The sequence below is a fragment of the Homo sapiens genome, chromosome 10 (genome assembly GCF_000001405.40).
Source record: "Homo sapiens chromosome 10, GRCh38.p14 Primary Assembly".
NCBI lineage: Eukaryota > Metazoa > Chordata > Mammalia > Primates > Hominidae > Homo > Homo sapiens.
In genome coordinates, this window is record NC_000010.11 from 126,238,451 (window position 1) to 126,260,361 (window position 21,911).

At 44.9% G+C, this 21,911-nt stretch overlaps 1 protein-coding gene across 5 annotated transcripts in view, besides 1 other annotated feature; it reads right to left on the minus strand.

Moving 5' to 3' along the window:
* The window catches only part of ADAM12 (ADAM metallopeptidase domain 12), a 376,087-nt gene that overhangs the window by 226,060 nt on the left and 128,116 nt on the right, over positions 1-21,911 (minus strand). The gene's annotated exons all lie outside the window — the stretch shown is intronic.
* Positions 8,724-9,923: an enhancer, noted in NCBI's record as "P300/CBP strongly-dependent group 1 enhancer chr10:127935743-127936942 (GRCh37/hg19 assembly coordinates)". NCBI's record gives its function as "activates an origin of replication core promoter dependent on BRD2, BRD4, P300/CBP, MED14 and CDK7 cofactors, with strong dependence on P300/CBP, by STARR-seq in HCT116 cells {active_cell/tissue: HCT116}" and the evidence as "EXISTENCE:reporter gene assay evidence [ECO:0000049][PMID:35650434]".

Sequence of the window (21,911 nt, forward strand, 5' to 3'; positions counted from 1 at the left end):
CTGGGAGATAAGAGCAAAACTCCATCTCAAACAAACAAACAAACAAAATTTAATTAATTAATTAATTAAATCCTGAGAGTTCAAGTTCTAAACCTATGTGTAACCATTTTACTATCTATATGCATCCCAAAACTGCATGTTGCGTACTTTCAATATACAAAATAAAATTTATTTTTAAAAGTTGTATGTCAAAAAACATATAGACCATTCTAGAAATTAACACAAGAACATGGAATGTAATACCCAGACCAAGAACACGTACAATATTATGCTTAAATATTGATGTCATTACTTCTTCCAGGCAACAGCTCATAAAATAAATCCATAGTTCTCTGCCAGCTAAGAAGTCACAGGAAACAGAAACTCCCTCAAAATCTTAGCCTGTTTCTGAGGGTAAACCTGAGATTTCATGGGCACTCATTCTGCTCTGCTACATTTTTCCCTGTCTTTCTTTTTTATAAAGAGGATTTGCTTCAGAGGCAATGCAGACAAATGAATTATTCATAGAGAAAGAGATAAAAGAGAGAAGGTTTCAGGGACTAAAATAGTTAGGCCTCAGGTTCTATGAGTTTGATCACATTGACTACTAAGTAGGCATCTTGGGAGCTGAAATAAACCAAAATTAAGAAGTAAAAATGATGTCAACAAGTTTTTTAGCATGCAGTAAGGGAGAACCACTTCCAGCAATAATGCCAGTGTTAAAGATTAGCTTTTGATTCTGAACTAATTCAAGTAACACCACATGTACATATAACTGAACAATGTTTTCTAGATAACAGGTGGGATATGTAACCTACAGAAATAAAAATTATATAGGAAAAAGAACCTCATTGTTTCCATGTATCTATAAGAACCAATGTACTACTGGATGAAACCATAGCATAGAATATCAAGAAGGCATGTGTGGATAAAGCCTTTCCTATAGGATATGACATAACAGTGAATTTTTTGTTGAAAATTTCGTCAGTCCTACATTTATAAAATCTGTCTTGGATTTTTAACCCTCAACTTTCTGGAGTACTTGGGGGTGTCTAGACCAATGTACAGCTCAAAGCTTTTGTTGACAGGGGAACAAATCCGACCTTTCTAAAATAAATGGGTATGGGGTAACATTTTCCTTTCAGAAATTCAAGCACATGACATTTATTTAGGTCGTTATTTCCTCCAAGAGAAAAAAAAATCATCTTAAGATGGAGAATTACAACAGAATCCTTTATTGTCGGATCTAAGGAATTATGACATAGTGCACGTTTGCAACTTTTTGATCACAAATCCTAATATTAGACTCTCAAAATCTTGTGAGGTTGAAAGAGAACCATTCACGTCATTCAGAACTATCTGATTATGTATTCTTGATTTTCTGGTGGGAATTGAAATTTGGCCCCTTTCTAAAGGAAGGCCAGCATCTTGCCCCATGATGGGCAGGTGGAATCCATATAGTAGGTCCTAGGTGAGCTCTGGTTGGTGTGGCTTCCAAACTGGGGTCTTACACCCAATCACTGGGTGTCCACTGCCGTGCCCCCTGCCCTCCTCCTCCATCCTTCCGTGCCAAGCTCAGGCAGCACATCTGTCCTGCTCTGCCCGGAGTCGACTCAGCTCCCTCCTGGCTTGCTGTAGCATTGCGTCTACACTGCCCATTGGTGCACGCAGTGCTCAGCAGTGAAGTGCTGTATCCATTGTGTGATGACCAGCCCGAGGGCAGAGACCTGGCTGAGCACTGTCCTTGCCTCCCACTCAGTGTGTACATAGCTGAGGACTCTTCACCAGCCGAAGGGGAACTATACAACCAAGACAGGCACACCCTTTAAAATATTCATTCCACAGCACTCATTAAGCTCTGGGCATTGTGGCACAGGCGATGCTCTGGGGGGCATCAGCCCCTAAGAGCGTGACAGAAGTTGCACCTGTGCTAATCTGTGCTTCAGCTGGGCCTTGGAGACAAAGCAACAGGAGCAGAATCAGTCCCTGTCAATGGCATTAAGCATAGTGGAGGAGACCTACATAAAACGAGTAAACACACGACAAGTGCAGAATCATAAATGAGGAGATGCAGTTTAAAGGGAAAGAAAGAAAATGCTAGGAAAGACTGAGGGTTAGGCAGGCCTATTTCACACAGGCAGTCAGCTGTGCTCTGAGTATCTGGGCTGAGACCTGAAGGCTGAGAAGGAGCTACCAGGCAGGCTGGAGCTGGAGGCAGAGACTTCCAGGCAGAGAACAGAACACAAGTGATCCTGCGGTGAAAGAGACCACGTGCTTGAGAATTGAACAAACAGCAGCTGGAACTCAGTGAAAGAGTGATCTGACTGAGGTCAGAGATGCAGGCCGATAGCAGGGCACGCCGGCCTGGAAGGTCACAGTCAGGAGACGCCGGGTCCTTCTGAGAACAACACAGAGCCCCCCGGGAGCTCCACTTTTTGCTGTATCACTATCAGGTATCTACCCTGCAGCGAAAGACCTTCCTTCTGTAGCTTGCTATGGCATAGGCCAAACTCCTTGAAATAAAATCTAGAGTGTCATTGAAATGTCATTCAGTAACAGATGAATGGGGCATGTCCATAATGTCTTAATGGAATGTGTTCCAGCCATAAAAAGCAAGGAAGTTCTGGTACATGCTACAAACAACATGGATGAACCTGAAAACCTCATGCTAAGTGAAAGGAGCTGACACAAGGGGACATGTACTATATAACTGCACGGACACCAGATGTCTAAAATAGGCCAATCCATAGAGACCTAAAGGTGAGCATTTGCCAGAAGCTTCAGAGAGATGGGCAAACGGAGAATAGGAAGTGACTTTAACAGGTTTGGGGGTTGTTTTTGGAGAGGATGGAAATGTTCTGGAATTAGATAGTGGTGACAGCTGTACAACATTGTGAATATAGCAGAACCCACTGAAACTGTACCCTTTAAAATGGTGAATTTTATGTTATGTGAATCACATCTCAATTAGAAGAATCGTAACCAGAAAAATAAAATTGACTTCTAAAAAAATATGTCATTCAGTAAATTGTTTCCTTCAGTCTCAGAAATCCTGACTTGCGCTCAAACTGGCAGAATTTCTCTCTGGATGAGGTCTCTGCCTTCCAACAAGCCTTATGCCTCTATTGGGCCAATGTTCAATTTTCTGTTTATAAGACATGTTGAGGCCATGACAAAGCAGGTGTGTTTAAGGCCAGGGCAAACTGAGCCTGAACGCTGATTTGCCACTTAATAGCTTTGTGGCCTGCAGCAAGCTGTGTGAATGCTCTGCACAGTGTCCTCACGTATAAAACGGGGACAAGAATGTTTGCAAGGACATCACTGTAAGTATTAGAAATGACATGTGCATGGGATAAATATAAGCAGCAGATGCTTAATAAATGGTGTTATTAATAGTGCTATCAATACTTTACAGGGTCTTGACAGTATATTTTATAAATTAGTACATTTGTAGTTAGTCCATTTTATAAATGCTATTTGGAATTCTCCATGGCAAAGAAAGAGCTAGTGGGGTACACTTTGTAAAACAGAGCTTTTTTTTTTTTTTTAACACATCAAATAATCATCTCCTGACATACATGTTTGGAATCTTAGACTGATTTTCCCCCCATTATATGAATCACTCTGCTTGTTTCAATTTATGCTTGCAAAGCTATGTTTCTGAAAAATTGCATGCAAATCAAATTTTTACAATTCTGATAATATTTTCCCATTGTTCCATATTATATGTTCAGGGGTGATTTATCTTCATTTGTGATTGATTTTCAGTTGGCAGCAGATCCTAACACTTTAGTTTTAAGACTGTTTTCTCCCCAGACTCTGTCAAGTTGTAAAAACATACTTTAAAACCCCCTTGACATTTTAAGGAACTCCTAACTTACTATTTTGTAAAATCAGACGTTTATTCCTAAGGCTTTTCTACCAGCAGGGAATAGAATTGTATTTATGGTTCAGCAGTAAACACTAAACAGGCTTGCTCATTTTCCATTGAAATTCCCCAAAGACTTTCAAAATCAAGGCAAAATGATGGAAAATTAAGAACATGTAAGCAATTCTGGCCCAAGACAGGAGTAGGGAGGTGGTGTCTGAGGGTTACTTCCCTTCCATGAGATTGTGCGAAGGCAGCACTTCACAGAGCGTGGGCGTCTCCTGGCCCGTCCACAGTGGGTCCTCCACAACGCCCCTGACACAGGCTGAGCAAACCCTTTTAATGAAGACCAATTGTGCTTTATTTGAGTTGGAATAGGTACGGAAGTGCTCTCTCTGAGTTTCTGACACAAATAACAAACAAAGCCATGGCCAGGGTCCCAGGCTCCTCAGGATTTCAAGATGTCCACATCTGGGGAGAAAGAAGTGGACACAGGTCTGCCTCCCAGCTCTGGGTTCACATGGTGAGACAGAGCTCTTGCTGGCTCTTTCCAGTGTCTGGTTTTGACATCACAAAGGGCTGTGGACTTTTATGATCTCGTATAAGAGATTCTTCCATTCTCCGCATTAAAACTGTCCCCTGAAAGGGATATGATCTAGCCAAGGCTGTGACACAAGAGACATGTGAATACAAGCCCAAGGGGTGGCCACCCATCCACCCATATGGAACTAGCAATGACTTCATCCTTTTTCTTTTTCCCTCTAGACACATTCACCCTGTCAGCGCGTGCAGAGCAGCTGTGATGGCTGCATCGTGTTGCTGGAAGCAGGCCAGTGTTACCATGTTCCTGGGCGTGCAGCTGCTGAGCAGGCAGCATGGAGGCCGCCCTGGCTGCAGGGGACCCTTAGCCTGAGGATCCTGCCCCAAGTTGCTGATGCCAACAGCCAGCCCTTGCCAGATGTCTTATGTCTGACTCTTGGGTGTTTAGGCAGCATAACAGTGAAATTGATAATAACTATGGATATCAATTTTGAGTGTGTAATTTTAACCAGAGCAAACCTTTATTGATCTCTTACTCTGTTCTCAGGCCTTCTCATGCATCTTACTTAATTCTCTCAGTTCCCCAGGAGGCAGGGACTAACATTATCTTCTGTGTAGACCAGTGGGGAGCAACTCTGTGTGTGTGAGTGTATGTGTGTGTGTGTGTGTGTGTGTGTGTGTAGGTCATTCAGGACAAGTTAAAACACTTATGGGTGTGTGTGTAGGCCATTCAGGACAAGTTAAAACACTTATGGGATGTGTTTTTCACTTTCAGGGTGAATACATTTTTATTGACTTCTTTTAGGGGGATAAAAGTGGTATTCTTGCAGATAGCTGCTTTCTGAGTAGAATACTAATGAGACAGCATACCCTGCTTTGTAGGTGTTTATACGCAACTATCTAGACATTTTAGAGAACCAGCCAAATGGAAGCAGCTTCTGATGTCTTTCACAATGGAACTAGACCATGGCTATTTTTCAGAGGTAGGAGGGCTTCTGATTGTCGTGGGATGGCACAGACATTGACAACGGGGAATGTGAGGCTTAACCTCAGTGACTGTCCTCTATACGCTTTTAACAATTCTAGAATAAATCAGTTCGGAAAAGATTTGCATCTCTATCAAAATCCGGGGGATGACATTGCACCAACTGGATCAGACTGGGGGAGAAAGGTTTCTGTTTCTCAAATTCTAGTCATTTCCAGACTGCCTACTCATGTTTTGGCAACTCTGTGATTAGAGCACATGGATTTAGCCATAAAACTGTGGGTTTGATGGTCTTGAATACTTGGCAATGAAATCTAAGATATCTAAACAACTCATCAAGTTTCTGATGTACAACTATGGGCAAAGTATGAATCCAACATGAGTTGTATTCAAAGGAAGCGAATGGCCAGCCTCTGCCTTCATCTGGCTCATACAGAACTCTGAGAGATCAGACAATCGGGGAAAACCAGCCGAGGGTTCATGCTTGGGTCCGTGACCACACAGTGCACTGCCGGTATTTGAAGGCAACCACAGCCTGCATGGAAGAGAGGAGAAGGTACAGATGGTGAGAAAGGGGAGACAGACTCTGGAGCAGCAGAGAAGGGAGGGCTCAGGATGAGAAATGTGAGAATGGGGTTTAGGCATTTCCAGAAAACTCTGACTGACTGACTGACTGTTGGGGGATCATGGTAGACATGGTGGGAAGTTTAGACTAGAGATGCCAATTAACAAGATCGTATCCTCTTCCTTCAGCAGGAAAGTGTCACTTAAAATCTAATTCAATCAGTATATACTGACAGCTATTAATTCACAGGTGTGGTGCTGGGGAGACAGAGAGAGGACACTAAATGTCATATCTCAGGGAGCTCATGCACCATTAGTATAAGCAGACCTATTAATAGATCTAATAAAGTGTACATGCTATGATAAAGAGAGATGTAAAGTTGTATGGAATGAAAGAGGAAGGAAAATGCTACTTGAGTGGGGACAGGAATGGGGGACTAGAAATTGAACAGCAAAAGCTTTAAGAGAAGATGATATTGGAGTTGTACATTAGCAAATGAGTAGACATTCACCAAGCAAAGGAGAAAATGGCATTCCACACAAGAGAACAGGAGAAGCCAAGACATAGAGATGTCAACATCCAGCTATGTTTGAAGATGGGGAGTAGGGTACATGATCAGGGGAGGGGCTTGCACCAAGGAGAAGGAAGATGGTAAGCAGGAGCAAATGCAAACAGCAAGGCTGGGGCATGACACAGAGATGTTGGAGTCACCTGAAGGCACCAGGACATCCCCTCGCCAGCCTCGGGGAACCCTCAAGGGAGAGTGAGCATCACATTGGCATGCTCCAGTCTGTGCTTTGGAAAGGGCACTTGTCTCTGTAAGACAAACTGGTGGCAGGGTGTTTCTGAAAGGTCATTGAGGAGACAAATAATCCAGGTGGGACCTGACGTGAACCTGCAGCCAGGCAAGGAAGAGGAAGGACACATCCCCCAGAGACGCTGAAGAACATGGAACTTAGACTAAACCTAGATGGTGAAAGGAGAGAGTCCTGCCAGCTTGAGAAAGGAATGCGCACAATTGGGAACTGCAGCCCACTATGGAGGCATGGGGGACACCAGGAGCTCCCAGTTGGAGAGGATGGCTTTAGAAGATAGGGGGACCATCCTGAAGGACTGGGCAGTGGGCAGGAGGTCGGGGCTAGAGGCACTGCCTTTGGAATCAATGGGAGTGGGAGATAGGTCCCAGAGGAAGCCTAAAGAATCCAGACCCCAGGGCCAAGGACCAGGCACCCTGGCATCCACCCACACTTAGGAGGAAGGAAAGGCAGTGAAGGGGATTTGCCATTGGAGAGGTTGGGAGCACCAGGAAAAAGTTATCATGGGAGTCAGGGCAGGGGGCTCCTCAAGGGGAGCATGAACGGCAGCGTCAGATGACAAGGAGGAAGTAGATTGAGAAGAAAGCATTGGATTTGGCAAGAAAGTGGCCCTTTCTTTGGGTTGTCTGAAAGCAAAGGTCACGGAGAGGATGGGGTGACAGGAGAGAGGAATGGATGAAGAAGTGAGAGGGTAGCAGAGCCTACAGGTGTGTACGGTTTGGCTGCAAGATAAAGGAGAAAATTTGACTGGGAATGGATGGATGAACAGATAGCTAGAAAGACAGAGAAAATAGTTGGATTGACCTTTTAAAAAATGGTGGAGACATCAGAGCATATTGAGAGGTGGAAAGGAAGGAGTACACAGGGAAGGGCCTAGGAAAAATGGTAAAGACAAAGAAAATAATGAGGGACACAAAACCCTTGCATTCTGGAGGAGAAAGGCAGGAATAAATAGGGCCTAAGATACAGGTGAACAAATGGCTTTGGGGACAAAAAGATAACCCTCTTTCTCAGAAACTGGGAGAAGGATGAAAAGACTGAGATATTGATCTGTGGATGTAAAGTTATGAGTAATTACTTGACTCTCCAATTTATTTTGAACCTGTTGTAAAATGCCCCAGATTTTATAGTTTTATCCTCAGGAAAATAGCCATAGACAACCTAAGGTAAACTGCGAATATCCAGCCATCCACAAGGTATATACCAAAACCTGGCAGAGACACAACAAAAAAAGAAAACTTCAGGCCAATATCCTTGATGAACATCAATGCAAAAATCCTCAAGAAAATACTGGCAAACAGAATCCAGCAGCACATTGAAAAGCTTATCCACCACAATCAAGTAGGCTTCATCCCTGGGATGCAAAGTTGGTTCAACATATGCAAAACAATAGATGTGATTCATCACATAAACAGAACTGAGGACAAAAACCACATGATCATTTCAAAAGACGCAGAAAAGGCTTTTGATAAAATTCAACACCCCCTCATGTTAAAAACTTTCAATAAACTAGGTATTGAAGGAACACACCTCAAAATAATAAGAGCCATCTATGACAAACCCACAGCCAACATAATGAATGGGCAAAAGCTGGAAGCATTCCCTTTGAAAACTAGCACAAGACAAGGATGCCCTCTCTCACCACTCCTATTCAGCATAGTATTGGAAGTTCTGGGCAGGGCAATCAGGCAAGAGAAAGTATTAAAGGGCATCCAAATACGAAGAGCAGAAATCAAACTATTCCCGTTAGCAGACAACATGATTCTATATCTATTTCTAGCAAACCCCATAGTTTCAGCCCAAAAGTTGCTTAAACTTTTATTTCTCTAAAAGAAGAAATGTAACTTGTTATTTAAATACAAATGGTTTCAAAATTGTATAAAATTACTTCTTGTTGGAAAATAATTCCAATTATCCTGTAAAGTATCTGAGAGTGGTTTCTAAGAAAATCCTTTCCATGTCAACCTTAGTGTATCTATCTCAAATCAACTTTGCTAAAACATGAAGGCCATTGCTAGAAAATTGAAGGAGAATCAAATGCGTCCTTTACTTAAACATTGCTGCCTTTAGAGAGAGTCTGAAAATATCACTGCATAAAATGTTTATGTATAATATTAACTCTTCTCACCCTTTTCCTAGACAAAATAGTTTCGATTCCACTCAAGTGCAATGTCAACAAAACCAGCAACGAGGCAAACTTCCCAGCAACAGAGCCACTAACCAAATTTCACTCATGTATCACAGTAGTAGCAGGAACTTGGAAACCCTTGTCCACTCAACAATTATTGTTAGATATTTAGGAGAGAGCCTGCCATCTGTGACGTATGGGCAATCCCAGCGCCCGGCTCAGTCCTGAGAAACTCATGTGCTTTCTGGCCCTGAGTCATAAGGACCCGATGGCATTCCACAGCCAAAGAAAAGAGTGAATCATTTAAAACAGGGCTTGGCGTCAATCTTGAGACTAAGTCACCAACCAGGAATTCTTCGCTGTTATCTAGTTTTTGGTAATAGTAAAAATGTCAGCCATGAATAATGAACGTATGACTCTAAAAATACCTCTCAAATCAGCATGGTGGCAACAAACAGATAATACAGTCAGCACACAGTGGCCATAACTTCACCTCCTCCTCTGTCAAGCCACTCACTAAAACGCCAAGAAATAAAAACAAAGCCTGCCTCCTGGGATCCTGTGGCTCCACGAGCCAATGACGGAGTAAGATGCTCTTTGAATTTCGTAATTTCTTCAAACCAAAGACTGGAGAATCAGAATGGTGTCTGTGGGCCGTGAAGGCAGTAGTGCTGTTGGAAGATTGCTGGAGAAGGTATCAGATGTGGGTTCAAGTCTCTGGCCCTGCACCTGCTGGTGGCACAGCTCATTGCTGAAATTACTCGGGTGACATGACTTCCTTCTCTAGGCCTCAGTGTCCTCATCTGCAGATTGAGTGTGGCAGTCATACCCCCTATGCATCACTGGGTAGTGGGAAGAATTAAAGGCCATAATTCACGTATTCTTTCCAGGGTGATGCCGACTTCACATGTCAGGAATTTGTCTAGGTACTCGGAATGAACAAATGAACTCGGAAATGAGCAAAACTTGCAAGGCCCCCGCCCCTGATATGAGAGCACTTAGCACAGAGCCTGGCATATAACAAACAACCATTTTTGTCTCTCCTTAGGCTTCTGACTCTCAACCAGGACACACAACTGCCACTAAGTCATGGCTGGGCCCTCCCAAACACAGGCCTTGCCACCCCTCGAGGCAACGTGACTTTTGTTTTAGAGCTGATTGTGCTGCTTTGGCTTCTCACTGGTCTGTTCTCGTCCTTGGTGGCCAAACAGATGTCTCTGCCATGTGACAGGTTCATCAACAAGCAAACACATTTCAGTACTCTTGACAATTATCGAATGCATACCATGAGCTAGGTATTGTTTTAGGAGCCTCACAGGTATGTATGTATGTATGTATGTATGTATGTATGTATGTATTTATTTATTTATTTATTTATTTATTTATTTATTTATTTTGAGACAGAGTCTCTGTCGCCCAGGCTGAAGTGCAGTGGTGCGACCTTGGCTCACTGTAACCTCCGCCTCCTGGGTTCAAGTGATTCTCCTGCCTCAGCCTCCCGAGTAGCTGGGACTACAGACAGGCGCCATCGTACCTGGCTAATTTTTGTATTTTTAGTAGAGATGGGTTTTCATGATGTTGGTCAGGCTGGTCTCGAACTCCTGACCTCAAGTGATCTGCCCCGTTCGGCCTCCTGAAGTGCTGGGATTACAGGCATGAGCCACCATGTCTGGCCTTCGCAAGTATTTACCTATTTCATTTCCAGAACCAACTATAGAGTAAAATTATTATCCTTACTTTACAGTTGGAGGAAACTGAGGCACAGAGAAATTAAGTACTCTACCTGAGGCCACACAGCTTATGTTTCTCCTAAGTCTTGCCTCCTCTAGGCTAAAATGTTCTCATCCTCTCTTTCTAATTAACTCTGGAAGATATTTTTTATTCTGTAATCAATTTCCCCTACTAAAATGTAGCCACACAGCTAATGGCCAATAGAATCCAATGCAAACACTCTACTCTCCACTACCTCTAGACCACAAAGAGGGCAGTCTAGGTGGGGGTTGGTGGTGATGGGGAGTGCATTTATGTCTGTGAGGGGAAGCAGACGCCTTACAAATTAGCCAAAGTGCCTTAGAAAACCAACACCAGGCGGGGCGCCATGGCTCATGCCTGTAATCCCAGCACTTCGGGAGGCCGAGGCGGGAGGATCACGAGGTCAGGAGATCAAGACCATCCTGGCTAACACCGTGAAACCCGTCTCTAGTAAAAATACAAAAAATTAGCCGCGTGTGGTGGCGGGCGCCTGTGCCTGTAGTCTCAGCTACTTGGGAGGCTGAGGCAGGAGAATGGCGTCAACCCGGGAGGCGGAGCTTGCAGTGAGCCGAGATCACGCCACTGCACTCCAGTCTGCCAGACTCCGTCTCAAAAAAAAGAAAAACAAAAAGAAAACTGACACCAACATGCAGCCCTTGCCTGCAATGTAATTTAAATTGCAGGAATTCTGATTTAGAATTCATGGCTGAATTTGCTTTTCTTCTTTTCTTGAGTTCATCTAGCACTTTGTTACATGCATAAGACATACAGACCCACTTCCCTGACTGCTCATTATTGGAGCACACACCATGGTCCTCTGTCAAGCTGCAAATTCCTTAAAGGGAGAACTGGGTCTTAGTATCCTCACTACTTAGCACAGGGACTCATACACAATAAGTAGGCCACTGATAAACACTGGCTAGAAGAAAAAGAAAGGGGAAAGAAAAGGAGTAAGCAAAAATCTGGTGCATGGCTAGATTCCCCTTCCACCAAAGCAAGACTCCAACCCATCCGGGACTACCACAGAAAGCTGCAAGCCAGGGCATACCGACCGCAAGGCCCTTCAAAGTCCTCGCATGAGGTTTCTTCCCCCAGCATAATCCCAGAGTATATAAACAGGGACTCAAGGACTCAATAAACCCAACAAATATCCCTCCAGAGCTGACACTCACTGGGGCCCACCTTTACTTAAATAAACTAACATTTATAGATAAGATTTGAGAACAAACAGTGCTCTCTAAGATAAACCACTGGGGACAAACCAGGCTGACATTTTGTTCACATGTTTATTGGGAGGGAAGGAGTGTGTGAGCGTGTGTGTGTGTAGTCAAGTTTACCATATGCCTAATAATGAACATTTTTAGGCAGGGAATATTCTGACCTGGCCCTGCTCGTTTATCGTATCTTAAGTTTCTCTCAAGCCTTTAAAAATAATTTTTAATCCATCAAGACTCTTACATGTAAACAACATTTTTCTGATTATTTTTTTGTGGCTTGGGGAATTAAAACAAGGAACCGCAATGGGGACAAAACACTTCTTGGGATTCTGAAGCCATCATTAGCTTTACATTGTTAACCGAAATTTTTGTTGAGACCATTGTAGATTCACATGTGTTTATTAAGAAATAATACAGGGAAAATCTCTGTCCACCTTGCCCAATTTCCTCCAGTGGAAAGATTTTGCAAGCCTCTAGTGTAATTTCACAACCAGGATATTGACACTGATACAGTCCAACAATCTTATTCGTATTTCTAATTTTTATTACACTCATTTATGTGTATGCATCATTAGCTTTTTATTTGGAATAGTTTACATTATTGATCTGCTATCAGCCATTCCAATTTATAATTGTTAATATGCAACGGCTGATTTTTCAGCTCTTATGATGTACTAGGCATGGTGCTAAGAACTTGACACACATGATGTTAATCAATCCCCATAAGATTCTTGCTTCTTTCTTCTGGGAATAGAAACTCTGCCTCTCTCACTGGCTCACATCAAAGTGGCTTGTTCTCCTCTGGCCAAGGGGTAGGAACATGACCAGATGACACAAGGACAGTCCTTGGCAGACCCTGCTGAGCGTGTCCATCGGTTCTTTTTCCAAGATCCCCAAGTGGTCTGGTCCTCGACCTTTCTGAGACCTGGTTCGTTGTGCTTTCCTCCAGTTCCTTCCTAAACATTTCCTCTCTGCTTAAGTCAGCAGTGTGCATTTGTCTTGCCTGCAATCAAAGAAACCTGTCCAGAGAGTGGGTAGCATGTTATTATTCTTTATTTAGATGAGGAAGCAGGCTTAAAGAAGTTAAAGAACTTGCCCAAGGTCACTGTCTTGGTCAAAATTCTCCAGAGAAACAGAACCAATAGGATAGATGGATGGATGGATGGGATGGATGGGATGGACAGATGGAATCGATGCGATGGATGGGATGAATGGATGGGATGGACAGGATGGATAGATGGATGGATAGGATAGATGGGTGGGATGGATGGGATGGATGGATGAACGGACAGGATGGATAGGATGGATGGATGCATGGATAGATGAATGGATGGGATGATGGGATGGATGGGATGGATAGGAAGGATGGATGGATGGGATGGAGAGGATGGATGGGATGGATGGATAGGATGGATGGATAGGATGGGATGGATGGATATGATGGATAGATTGGATGGATGGATGGGATGATGGGATGAATGGATTGGATGGATGGATGGGATGGATACATGAATTGATGGGATGGATAGGATAGATGGATGAATGGGTGGGATGGATAGGACAGATGGATGGATGGGATGGATGCAATGGATGGATGGGATGGATAGGATGGATGGATGGGATGGATAGGATGGATGGATGGGATGATGGGATGGATAGAATGGATAGATGGTTGGATGAACAGGATTGATGGATGGATGGGATGGATAAATGGATGGATGGATTGGGTGGGATGGATAGATTGGATGGATGGATGAGATGGATGATGGATGGGATGAATGGATTAGATGGATGGGATGGATTGGATGGATGGATGGGATGGATGGATGGATGGACAGGATGGATGGGTGGATGGATGGGATGGATGGATGATGGATGGACTCAATGGATGGGATGGATGAGATGGATGGATTAGATGGATGGATGGATTAGATGGATGGATTGGACTGATGGATGGGATGGATGTATTGGAGAATGGATTAGATAGATGGATGGAATGGATGGGATGGATGGATGGATGGGAGAGGATTAATTATGGGAATTGGCTCATGCAGTTATGAAGAATAAGAAGGCCCATGATACGCTGTCTGCAAGCTGGAAAACTGGGGAAGTTGGTGGCATATCTCAGTCCAAGTTCAAAGGCCCGAACACCAAGGGAGCTGATGATGTAACTCTGTCTAAGGCCAAAGGTCTGAGGACCTGGGAGGCCAGAGTCTAAAGGCTGGAGACCTGGAGTTCTGATGTTCAACCAAGGGCAGGAGAAGATGAGTGTCCCAGCTCCAGAAGAGAAAGTGGGCAAATTCACTTTTCCTCTATTTTTGTTCTATCCAGGCCCTCAACTGACTGGATGGTGCCCACCCACATTGGGTTACGGGGGATCTTTCTTACTCAGTTCACCAATTCAAATGCTGATCTCTTCCAGAAACACCCTCCTCATGGATACATCCATACATAATGCTTTACCCGCTTTCTCGGTGTCTGTTAACCCAGTCAAGTTGACACCTAAATTAACCACCACAGTCACACAGCTATGAAGTGGTAGAACAGGGACACTGAGCAGGTTGCCTGGGTGCAGAGCTGATGCCTTAGCCCTGGCATACTGCCTCCTGCTCCTTGTAGAAAGGGACAAAGGTGGCACTTGCAACTTCATGGTCTTCTTTGGAATTTCTCTGGATGATTTTTCAACCATGCTCTGATATGTGCTCTCGAAACCCTGAAGTGACGTTCTATTATAGCTACTGTCACATAACAGGACATACCTGTTTAGGACTGTGGTTCACATTCCTGATGCCATTCCAGAAGGACTGTGCCAAAATATGCTTAGCACTCACTGATTTGAAGTATTCTTCCAAACCCACCCTTCCCTGAACCTCTCCCTGCAGGGTCCAGCACAGGAAATGGTTTCTGACCACTCTTGACATTTACTGCAATTTTTTTTTTTAAGACCGAAAGCGTGAGCATGCATATATTACACTTTCAAGTCACCATGATGCATTTCTCCAGCATTAGCTTGTGCTTTTACAACTGGTCTTCATCAAAGGTTTTTCATCTGCTCGCCAATGTGGCATGTGTCCTAATGACTCATGATGAGGAGTCGTTCCTTTTAGCATGATTTATGCTCGCTTATCATTCTCTTGTTCTCCAGAGGGGAAAGCTGCTCTACTGAATGAGCTCAGCCCACATAGAAATAGCCACTAAGCAGCTGTCTCTTCATGTTAAGAAAACTAGCTAATGGCAGTGTCCACGAATCATCCCACTTGAAGATTAGAACAAGACATCTGCTTCTCGTGTGGCAGAGCTTGGGCTAAGAGGGGGAACACCCACCCCCCAGAGAAAACCCTGCTCCTCTGACAGCTCCTGGACTCACTTTGCTTGAGCAGATCTTTGTGGGTTGGGTGGGGGGAGGGCTTCTGCTCTCCTCCTCATACTGTCCCACTCTTCCTCCCAGAGGGCTTGTAGGGACCAGGGCAGAGCCTGGGATAAGCAGGGAATGAGATGCGGTTCTTGCCTGGCCTGAGCTGGCACAGGCTCCATGAGAGAAGCCTCAAGGATGAGTGAGGTGAGCCCTAAGCCCTCCCCGTTTCTCTTCACTGGCAGGCCTGCCATGCCCCATCCTGTACCTGGAGTTGAGCAATTACAGCACAGGATGCTGAAGGCCAGACTTCCAGGGCGCTATGTCTCTGCCGGCTCACCCAGCCCAGTGCTATCTTCAGTCAGAGCCATTCAGTGGCCATCCTCCAAGGTCCTATGGCCCCTCTGCTACCCTTCCCCAGTCCCCTCCTGGGCAGCACTGTCCATCTTCCCAGCTCATCCCTTCCTTTCCCTTGGGAGGCTCCGGAGGTGTGTTCAGCTCTCAGCCATTAGAACAGGTTTGTAGCTTGGGGTCTGCAGGCAGCCTCCCTGGGTCTGCAGCCAGCTCTGGCACCTATCAGCTGCGTGACCTGGTGGGAGTCATTTGATAGGGCTGTGCCTCAGTTTCCTTGGCTGGAAGACAAGGACAGTAATGGCACATACCTTATAGGGTTGATGTGAGGAATAAACAAGATAATGCAGGTGAAAATGCCAAGCGCAAGTCATGTGCTCCCTCTGTGTCAGCTGTCGGCATTGTCACTGGCTCCAGGAAGAACCTGCGGTCTGGTCAGCTTCACCCCAGCAAGAGCAACTGACAACACTTCCTTCTCAGGATGCAGTCTTGGCCTCTTCCCCTGCGGATGCTCTCCTCATCTCCTCTTGCCTTGCTCACAGAGTCCACCTGCACAGGTGTGTTACTCAGCGTCAATTCCACACCCGGTCCAGGCGGGAGGCCCTTTCCTTGGCCCTCCTGAACTGCTGTTCTTCCTTCCTTCCTTCCCTAGGATCCAGAGCATCCATGGAGCCACCACCGTAGTGAGGACAAAGGCCACTGACCGCTCTGCTCACATGCTCCCAGGCCTCCTCTGAACTGTGCAACAGTCGCCATCGCTGGGGAGGCCCCTCTGTTTTGCAGGGGTTTCTTCACCTGTTCAGAAATTGCTTCAAGACAATAGGACTTAAGAGTGTACTGACAGCCTGGAACTGTCATTAGAACCATTAAAACGTCATCTCTCTTGACATAAACCATAATTAAGACAATTAGGGCACCATCTCTCTTCCCTGACATCAGTCCCCCTTTACAAACCACAGAAGTCTCATGTTCTGGCCATAGTTCGCCCCGGTCACCAGCCCCCGGTGGCATTTGGACAGGGGCCACCCTCGGAGCACGGCTTTCCTGCACCCGAAGTGGGGTCAGCTTGGACAGCTTTGGGGCATTCCTGTCGTGAGCCCATCTGCTGACTTGTCCTGCAATGCCACCCTCTGTGGGTTCCACACTAGCAGTCCCAGCTCCCAGTGGTGTCGCCGGCCAGCTGGCACTCAGGCTGATGTCAGGTGGTGATAAGTACAGGTTTCTTCCTGTCTTCCTTTTGCTACACTCAATGAAAGTTTGTGAGGCCTGAGAACTGAACAGACTCAGGTTTTGACTTACTTTGGGAAGTAAGAAACTGCTCCTTTTGTACCTCAAAAAGAAGCCTCAGGTGTGTGGCAATCTCAGATGGTGTCCCGAGTCCAGCTCTCGTTCGCATTCAGTCCCAGCTTCCTCCCCACGGCTCCACCTCACACACTCACCCTTAGAACGCAGCCCCTTCATGGCAGGAGGACTAGGAGGGTCCAATAAGGCAGTTTAAACATTGATGATGTCATCATGGCCATACTATTAAATTTTGTAAAAAGCAAACAGCAAAGGTTTCCAGGAAAACTGATTTTTAAATCCTAGCATTAAACAAAATAGTACAACCTCGCTTTATACTAATATCAAAACACACTTCCTCCTGCCCACGGAGGGTCCCTCCTGATGGGGACTTCGTCTTACCTTTCTTTGAATCCCCAACAAAGCACCTGGCTCCATGAGGGTTGTCTCCAGGACAACTGAATGATACTCTGAAGGGGGGATGGCAAAGCTAACTGGCCCCATTGCAGCTAGTCTCAGAGATGTCTGCACAGAGGCAGCAGACAGCCGAGGCACACGCCTGGTCATTATGGTGTTATCCTTCCCTCGCCTCTACCGGAGCCAGATCCAGCTAGTGCAGGCTGTCCAAGGGCCTTCGGCATCAGGAACGGTGCAGGGAAGGAGGTGGGTGCCCATGGGCATCTCGTCAGGGCACTTACCACCCAGCCAAAGGAATATCTTCACTCGCCCACCACGGCTGGTAGTTAGGACCAGCCAAGTCTGCCACGGTGGTGCTCAACCCTGTTGCTTCTGCAGATCACCTGGGACACTTAAGAAAAATACTTATGTCCAGGTAAAAGTAAATCAAATCACCCCCCTACCTGGCAACTTTGGTTTTTGCTCCAGGTGATTCTAATGTCCAAGCAGAACGAAAGCCATTGGTCTAAGATCTACCAATCACATTGTATGAATGAACGCTTAGTTTGTGAATGAATGGGTAAACATGAATGCAGAGTCCTATGGCTCTGTAACAGTAGAAGGCCAATGTATTAGGAAACAACTCTGGGTTTATGACCTGGACCCTTTGTTTTAGTTTCTAACTCTACCAACAACTACGGGATCTTGGGCAAGTGTCTAAACCTCCCTGCTCTTCCAGTCTCCATCTGTAAAATGGGTGACGTGGCCACAGTGATCTCTGAGGTCCCTTCATTCCCTCTGCATTGATAGAGGTTCTACTACCTTGAGCCGTCGCTGTGTGTCAGACTCTGGTCTGGGAGGTGGGGATTCAGCCCTGGGGCCTTCAGGAGCTTACCTTCCAGCAGACATCCTCACTTCCATCTACTTCCACTTAGAAAGTCTACAAATCCAGGAGTCTACTTCATTTATCTGGACAATAGCCCAGTGCAGAGAAGCAGAGACTATACCAACTAAAAAGCAGAGGAACTGGAGAAAATTTTCCCTGAATCACTCTGGAGGGCTTCAAAAGAATGGAGACAGATGAGATAGGAGCCCTAGAGGATGGGGAGATAGTAGGTTTATCCAGAAATCTCTTTTATATTAACACCAACATTGCAAAGGCTGGTTCTTTAAGTACTATATTGCATATATATTCCTAAGAAATACTGTTCCTGCACCTTTGGATGGGAATAATAATAATAATGATGATGATGATGATGATGATGGAGGGACTTCTGTGGTTTTGCAGCTTTTCATATTTTGCAGAGCATTTGACCATCCACTCTTAGCAGTAGCCCACCCACTGGCCACCTGGGGGCTCCCCAGTCCACTTCTGCATCCTGCATAAGGCCTGCAGTGCCCACTCTCAGCCCCTTCCTCCCTGAACACTGACACCACCTGTATGTGTACTGCCAGCCTGGATTCCCTTTCACTTGACAGCAACCACCTAACCCTACATGTGCTCTGCAAAACACAATGACACACACAGTTACCCTCCAAAGACAGTACCGGGAAGGAATGATGTCAGGCAGTGATGTCCTAAAGCCCAGACACCAGGTATGCCCAATCCTCACCAAAACACCTAAGTAGCCCTGGAACGTGCACATGGTCTTCTGTTCTGCGATCAAAATGTTCCATTTGTATTGAGATGGCCTCTTCGCTGCTGAGAGAATGCAGGAATTGCACTGAGTTTAGCAAAGGAACTCGATCTGACTCAATACAACTTAGAACAAAGAGGAACTTCTCAAGCATGTGATAATCTATTCTTTTCACCAACTTTCTCAGGTGCACGAAAGTGGTCATGCATTTCTACGCTGTATTTAAAAGAAAAACATTTTATTGACTCTTTAAATAAAACTCTATCCACAACTATAAAGGAAAATGGGGAAATATGACCTGTCACACAATCGCATAAAAATTTACATCGCAGATAAAATACTACAATCGCTTCATGAAATAACTTGCATCCATCAACCGTGGAGATGGGCAAGGAAATATAACCATCCTCATTTTATAGAGGTAAGAACAAAGATAAAGATAAGAATATATAAAAGCAGAGGTTAGAATTATAAAACCAGTCAGCCTTGCCAAGGGCTCAGGAAAGGCTCAGCAGCGCAAATGACTCCAGGCACTTAGAAGCAGGTGAGTTCCTAACCAGAGGTCATGGATTTCTGGACAACGGTGGTGTCTTTACAGGCACCATGCCTGGAAATAACTAGTAAGATAGGTGCCTACTCTATTTGGCAACCTCAAATAGAATTGGCCTCTCAATTTTCACAATGAGAAGATACCAAAAGGATTTTTGGCCATTTTATATCTGTGTCCCTATATTTATATTCAATTTTCACCTCCTGCTATATATCAAGCATAGAATAATATGCTAGGGACACAGTGGGGAACAATCCACTGTCTACTGACAATATTTAATTGGCCAATTCAGGCACACATTTAAAATAATGTAAGCATAAGTTTATTCAGATTGCTTTCTGCACTCTCATATCTTACAAAAACACTTTTATTTGCAATCTGTCTTTGTCCTCATTAGAGTCTGAGTCATCTCACAGTTTTCTAGACTATCACTTTCACCTGCATCTAAATGTCTCTGGATTCAGGATTTTTCCCTAATTATTTCTTAAATTCCTCCACCTCACTCATCCCCACTGCCTCCGTGCCCCACACGCCCCACCCGTGCCCCACACGCCCCACCAGTGTAATGGTCTCCCAGTGGCCTCCGACCTCTGCTCTTGATACTTTTTGTTTCATTCAGGAAGCCATTCTTAAAACACCCATTTCAATCCATCCATGCCCTACTTACCAACCTTCAGTGGCTTCCCCTGGTGCAGGGTGGCGTCTGAAACCTGGCCAGATCTAGTCTGGTCTTTGGTAGCCCCTTGGTCTCCCTTTTTTATTACTCTCTCAGCCCATGCCCTGGCATTCGGCCAGAGCCTCCATGCCACAAGCTCCTCACCCACCTGGGCCTTTACTTGCACTGCTTGCTTGGCCTGAAACTCTTCCTCCTCTCTGCACCTGGCTGACTCCCACAGGTGACAGTACTTCTAGCCTGTGGGCCTTCCCTGGCTGCCACACCAAGACACCTTTCTTTCCCTCATTGCCCATGCCCGTAAGCACTTCCAGTGCACGTAACAGCATAATCCATTATTTGTAAGATCATCTCTTTGGCATCTCACAGCTCCACTAGCCTGCAAGCTCTTTGAGGTCAAGGGCTGTTTCCCCCCTGTTCCCTACCGTGTCCCCAGTGTGTTGTTCAATGCTTGTTATATACCAGGAGGTCAAAAATAATGGTTGAATTTATAACAGCAGCACCAGCTAACCTTTGTGGGATATTTCCTATGCCTTAGACTCTGTAGTAAATGGTTTTATGGATTTTTGTATTTAATTCCTAAAACAACAGTAGGATCTTGGTGGTCTGTATCTAACAGACGTCAAACTGAGGCTTACACAGCTCAGTTCCTAAATTCACACGGCAGAGTGCAGCTTTCACCTGGGATTATCAGATTCCCAGCTCAGTGCTCTCAATTTACCTAGTGAAATAAATAACCTTCTTAGATATCCAAGCAAATGTGATACAGACGAAAAACCCTTCTTAAAAAAGCTTCAAGGAGCTTTGAGAGGAAAGTCAAGCTCTGCAAAGTTATAATACGTTTACAATATGAGCTATAGCCCTTGTGGCTTAAAAAAGTCTCTTTTCAATATTTTTGCAAAGTTTGTTTACTGAAAAGAGCGATCACATGCTTTCTTACTAACAAAAATAAAGGCCACTCATTTCTTTGTTCACTCAAAAGGTCTCAGGCACCTGATCTGGTCTGACACAGCAAAATATTTTACTATGGGAAAATGCAATTCTAATATTTGATACTTAGGTGGGAATTTGATGTCCTGATTTCCTTTGTTCTCTACTACAAACGCTTTGAGCTATCATTCATCATCCATGCATGGGTTAGAGAGAGAAAGTACATCTTCTCCACACATGAGGGAATAAAGTCACTCTCTGAGAACTAAACCGGGGCAATCAACCCAACTGATGATCACTCCTAAAAAAAGTTCCAAAACGCTCAGTAAGGTTTGGTGGGCCAAACATCTAACACTGAAATTCTTTCTTTAAAGAAAACTGAGGGAAATCGAGTCAGCTCATGGATGGTGATAGGGAAATGATGCATATATGACAGTGATGAGTCTGGTTTAGGTGTCTGTCACATGGGAGTTTGGTCATTGTGAGTCAGACCTCTTGAGTTCCGTCAAGAATGATTTGTGGATGTGCAAAGCTGGGATGATCTCCCAGAGGTGACAGTACTGCCTGCAAGGTCAGCCACCACCTCAAGTGACACCTGGGTCCCACCTGCCTACAAGGGCCCCAGCATTTCTTCCATACACATTACCATACACATTACCATACACATTACCTACCTACCCATGGCTGGTGCCAAGTAGTCTTCACTTGGTTCTTCAGATCTGTCCTGGGACAACAGGACAAATGACCGGGAGCCAGCGCTTCACGCTGCCTGCTAGACTATCCATACTCACAGGCAAACATGGATACAAATTAGCAATTTAAAAGCTGCCCTCTGTTCCTGGCTGGGATTCTCATAAATCAAAAGTGGTCGATGTTTACAACAGGGTCCAAA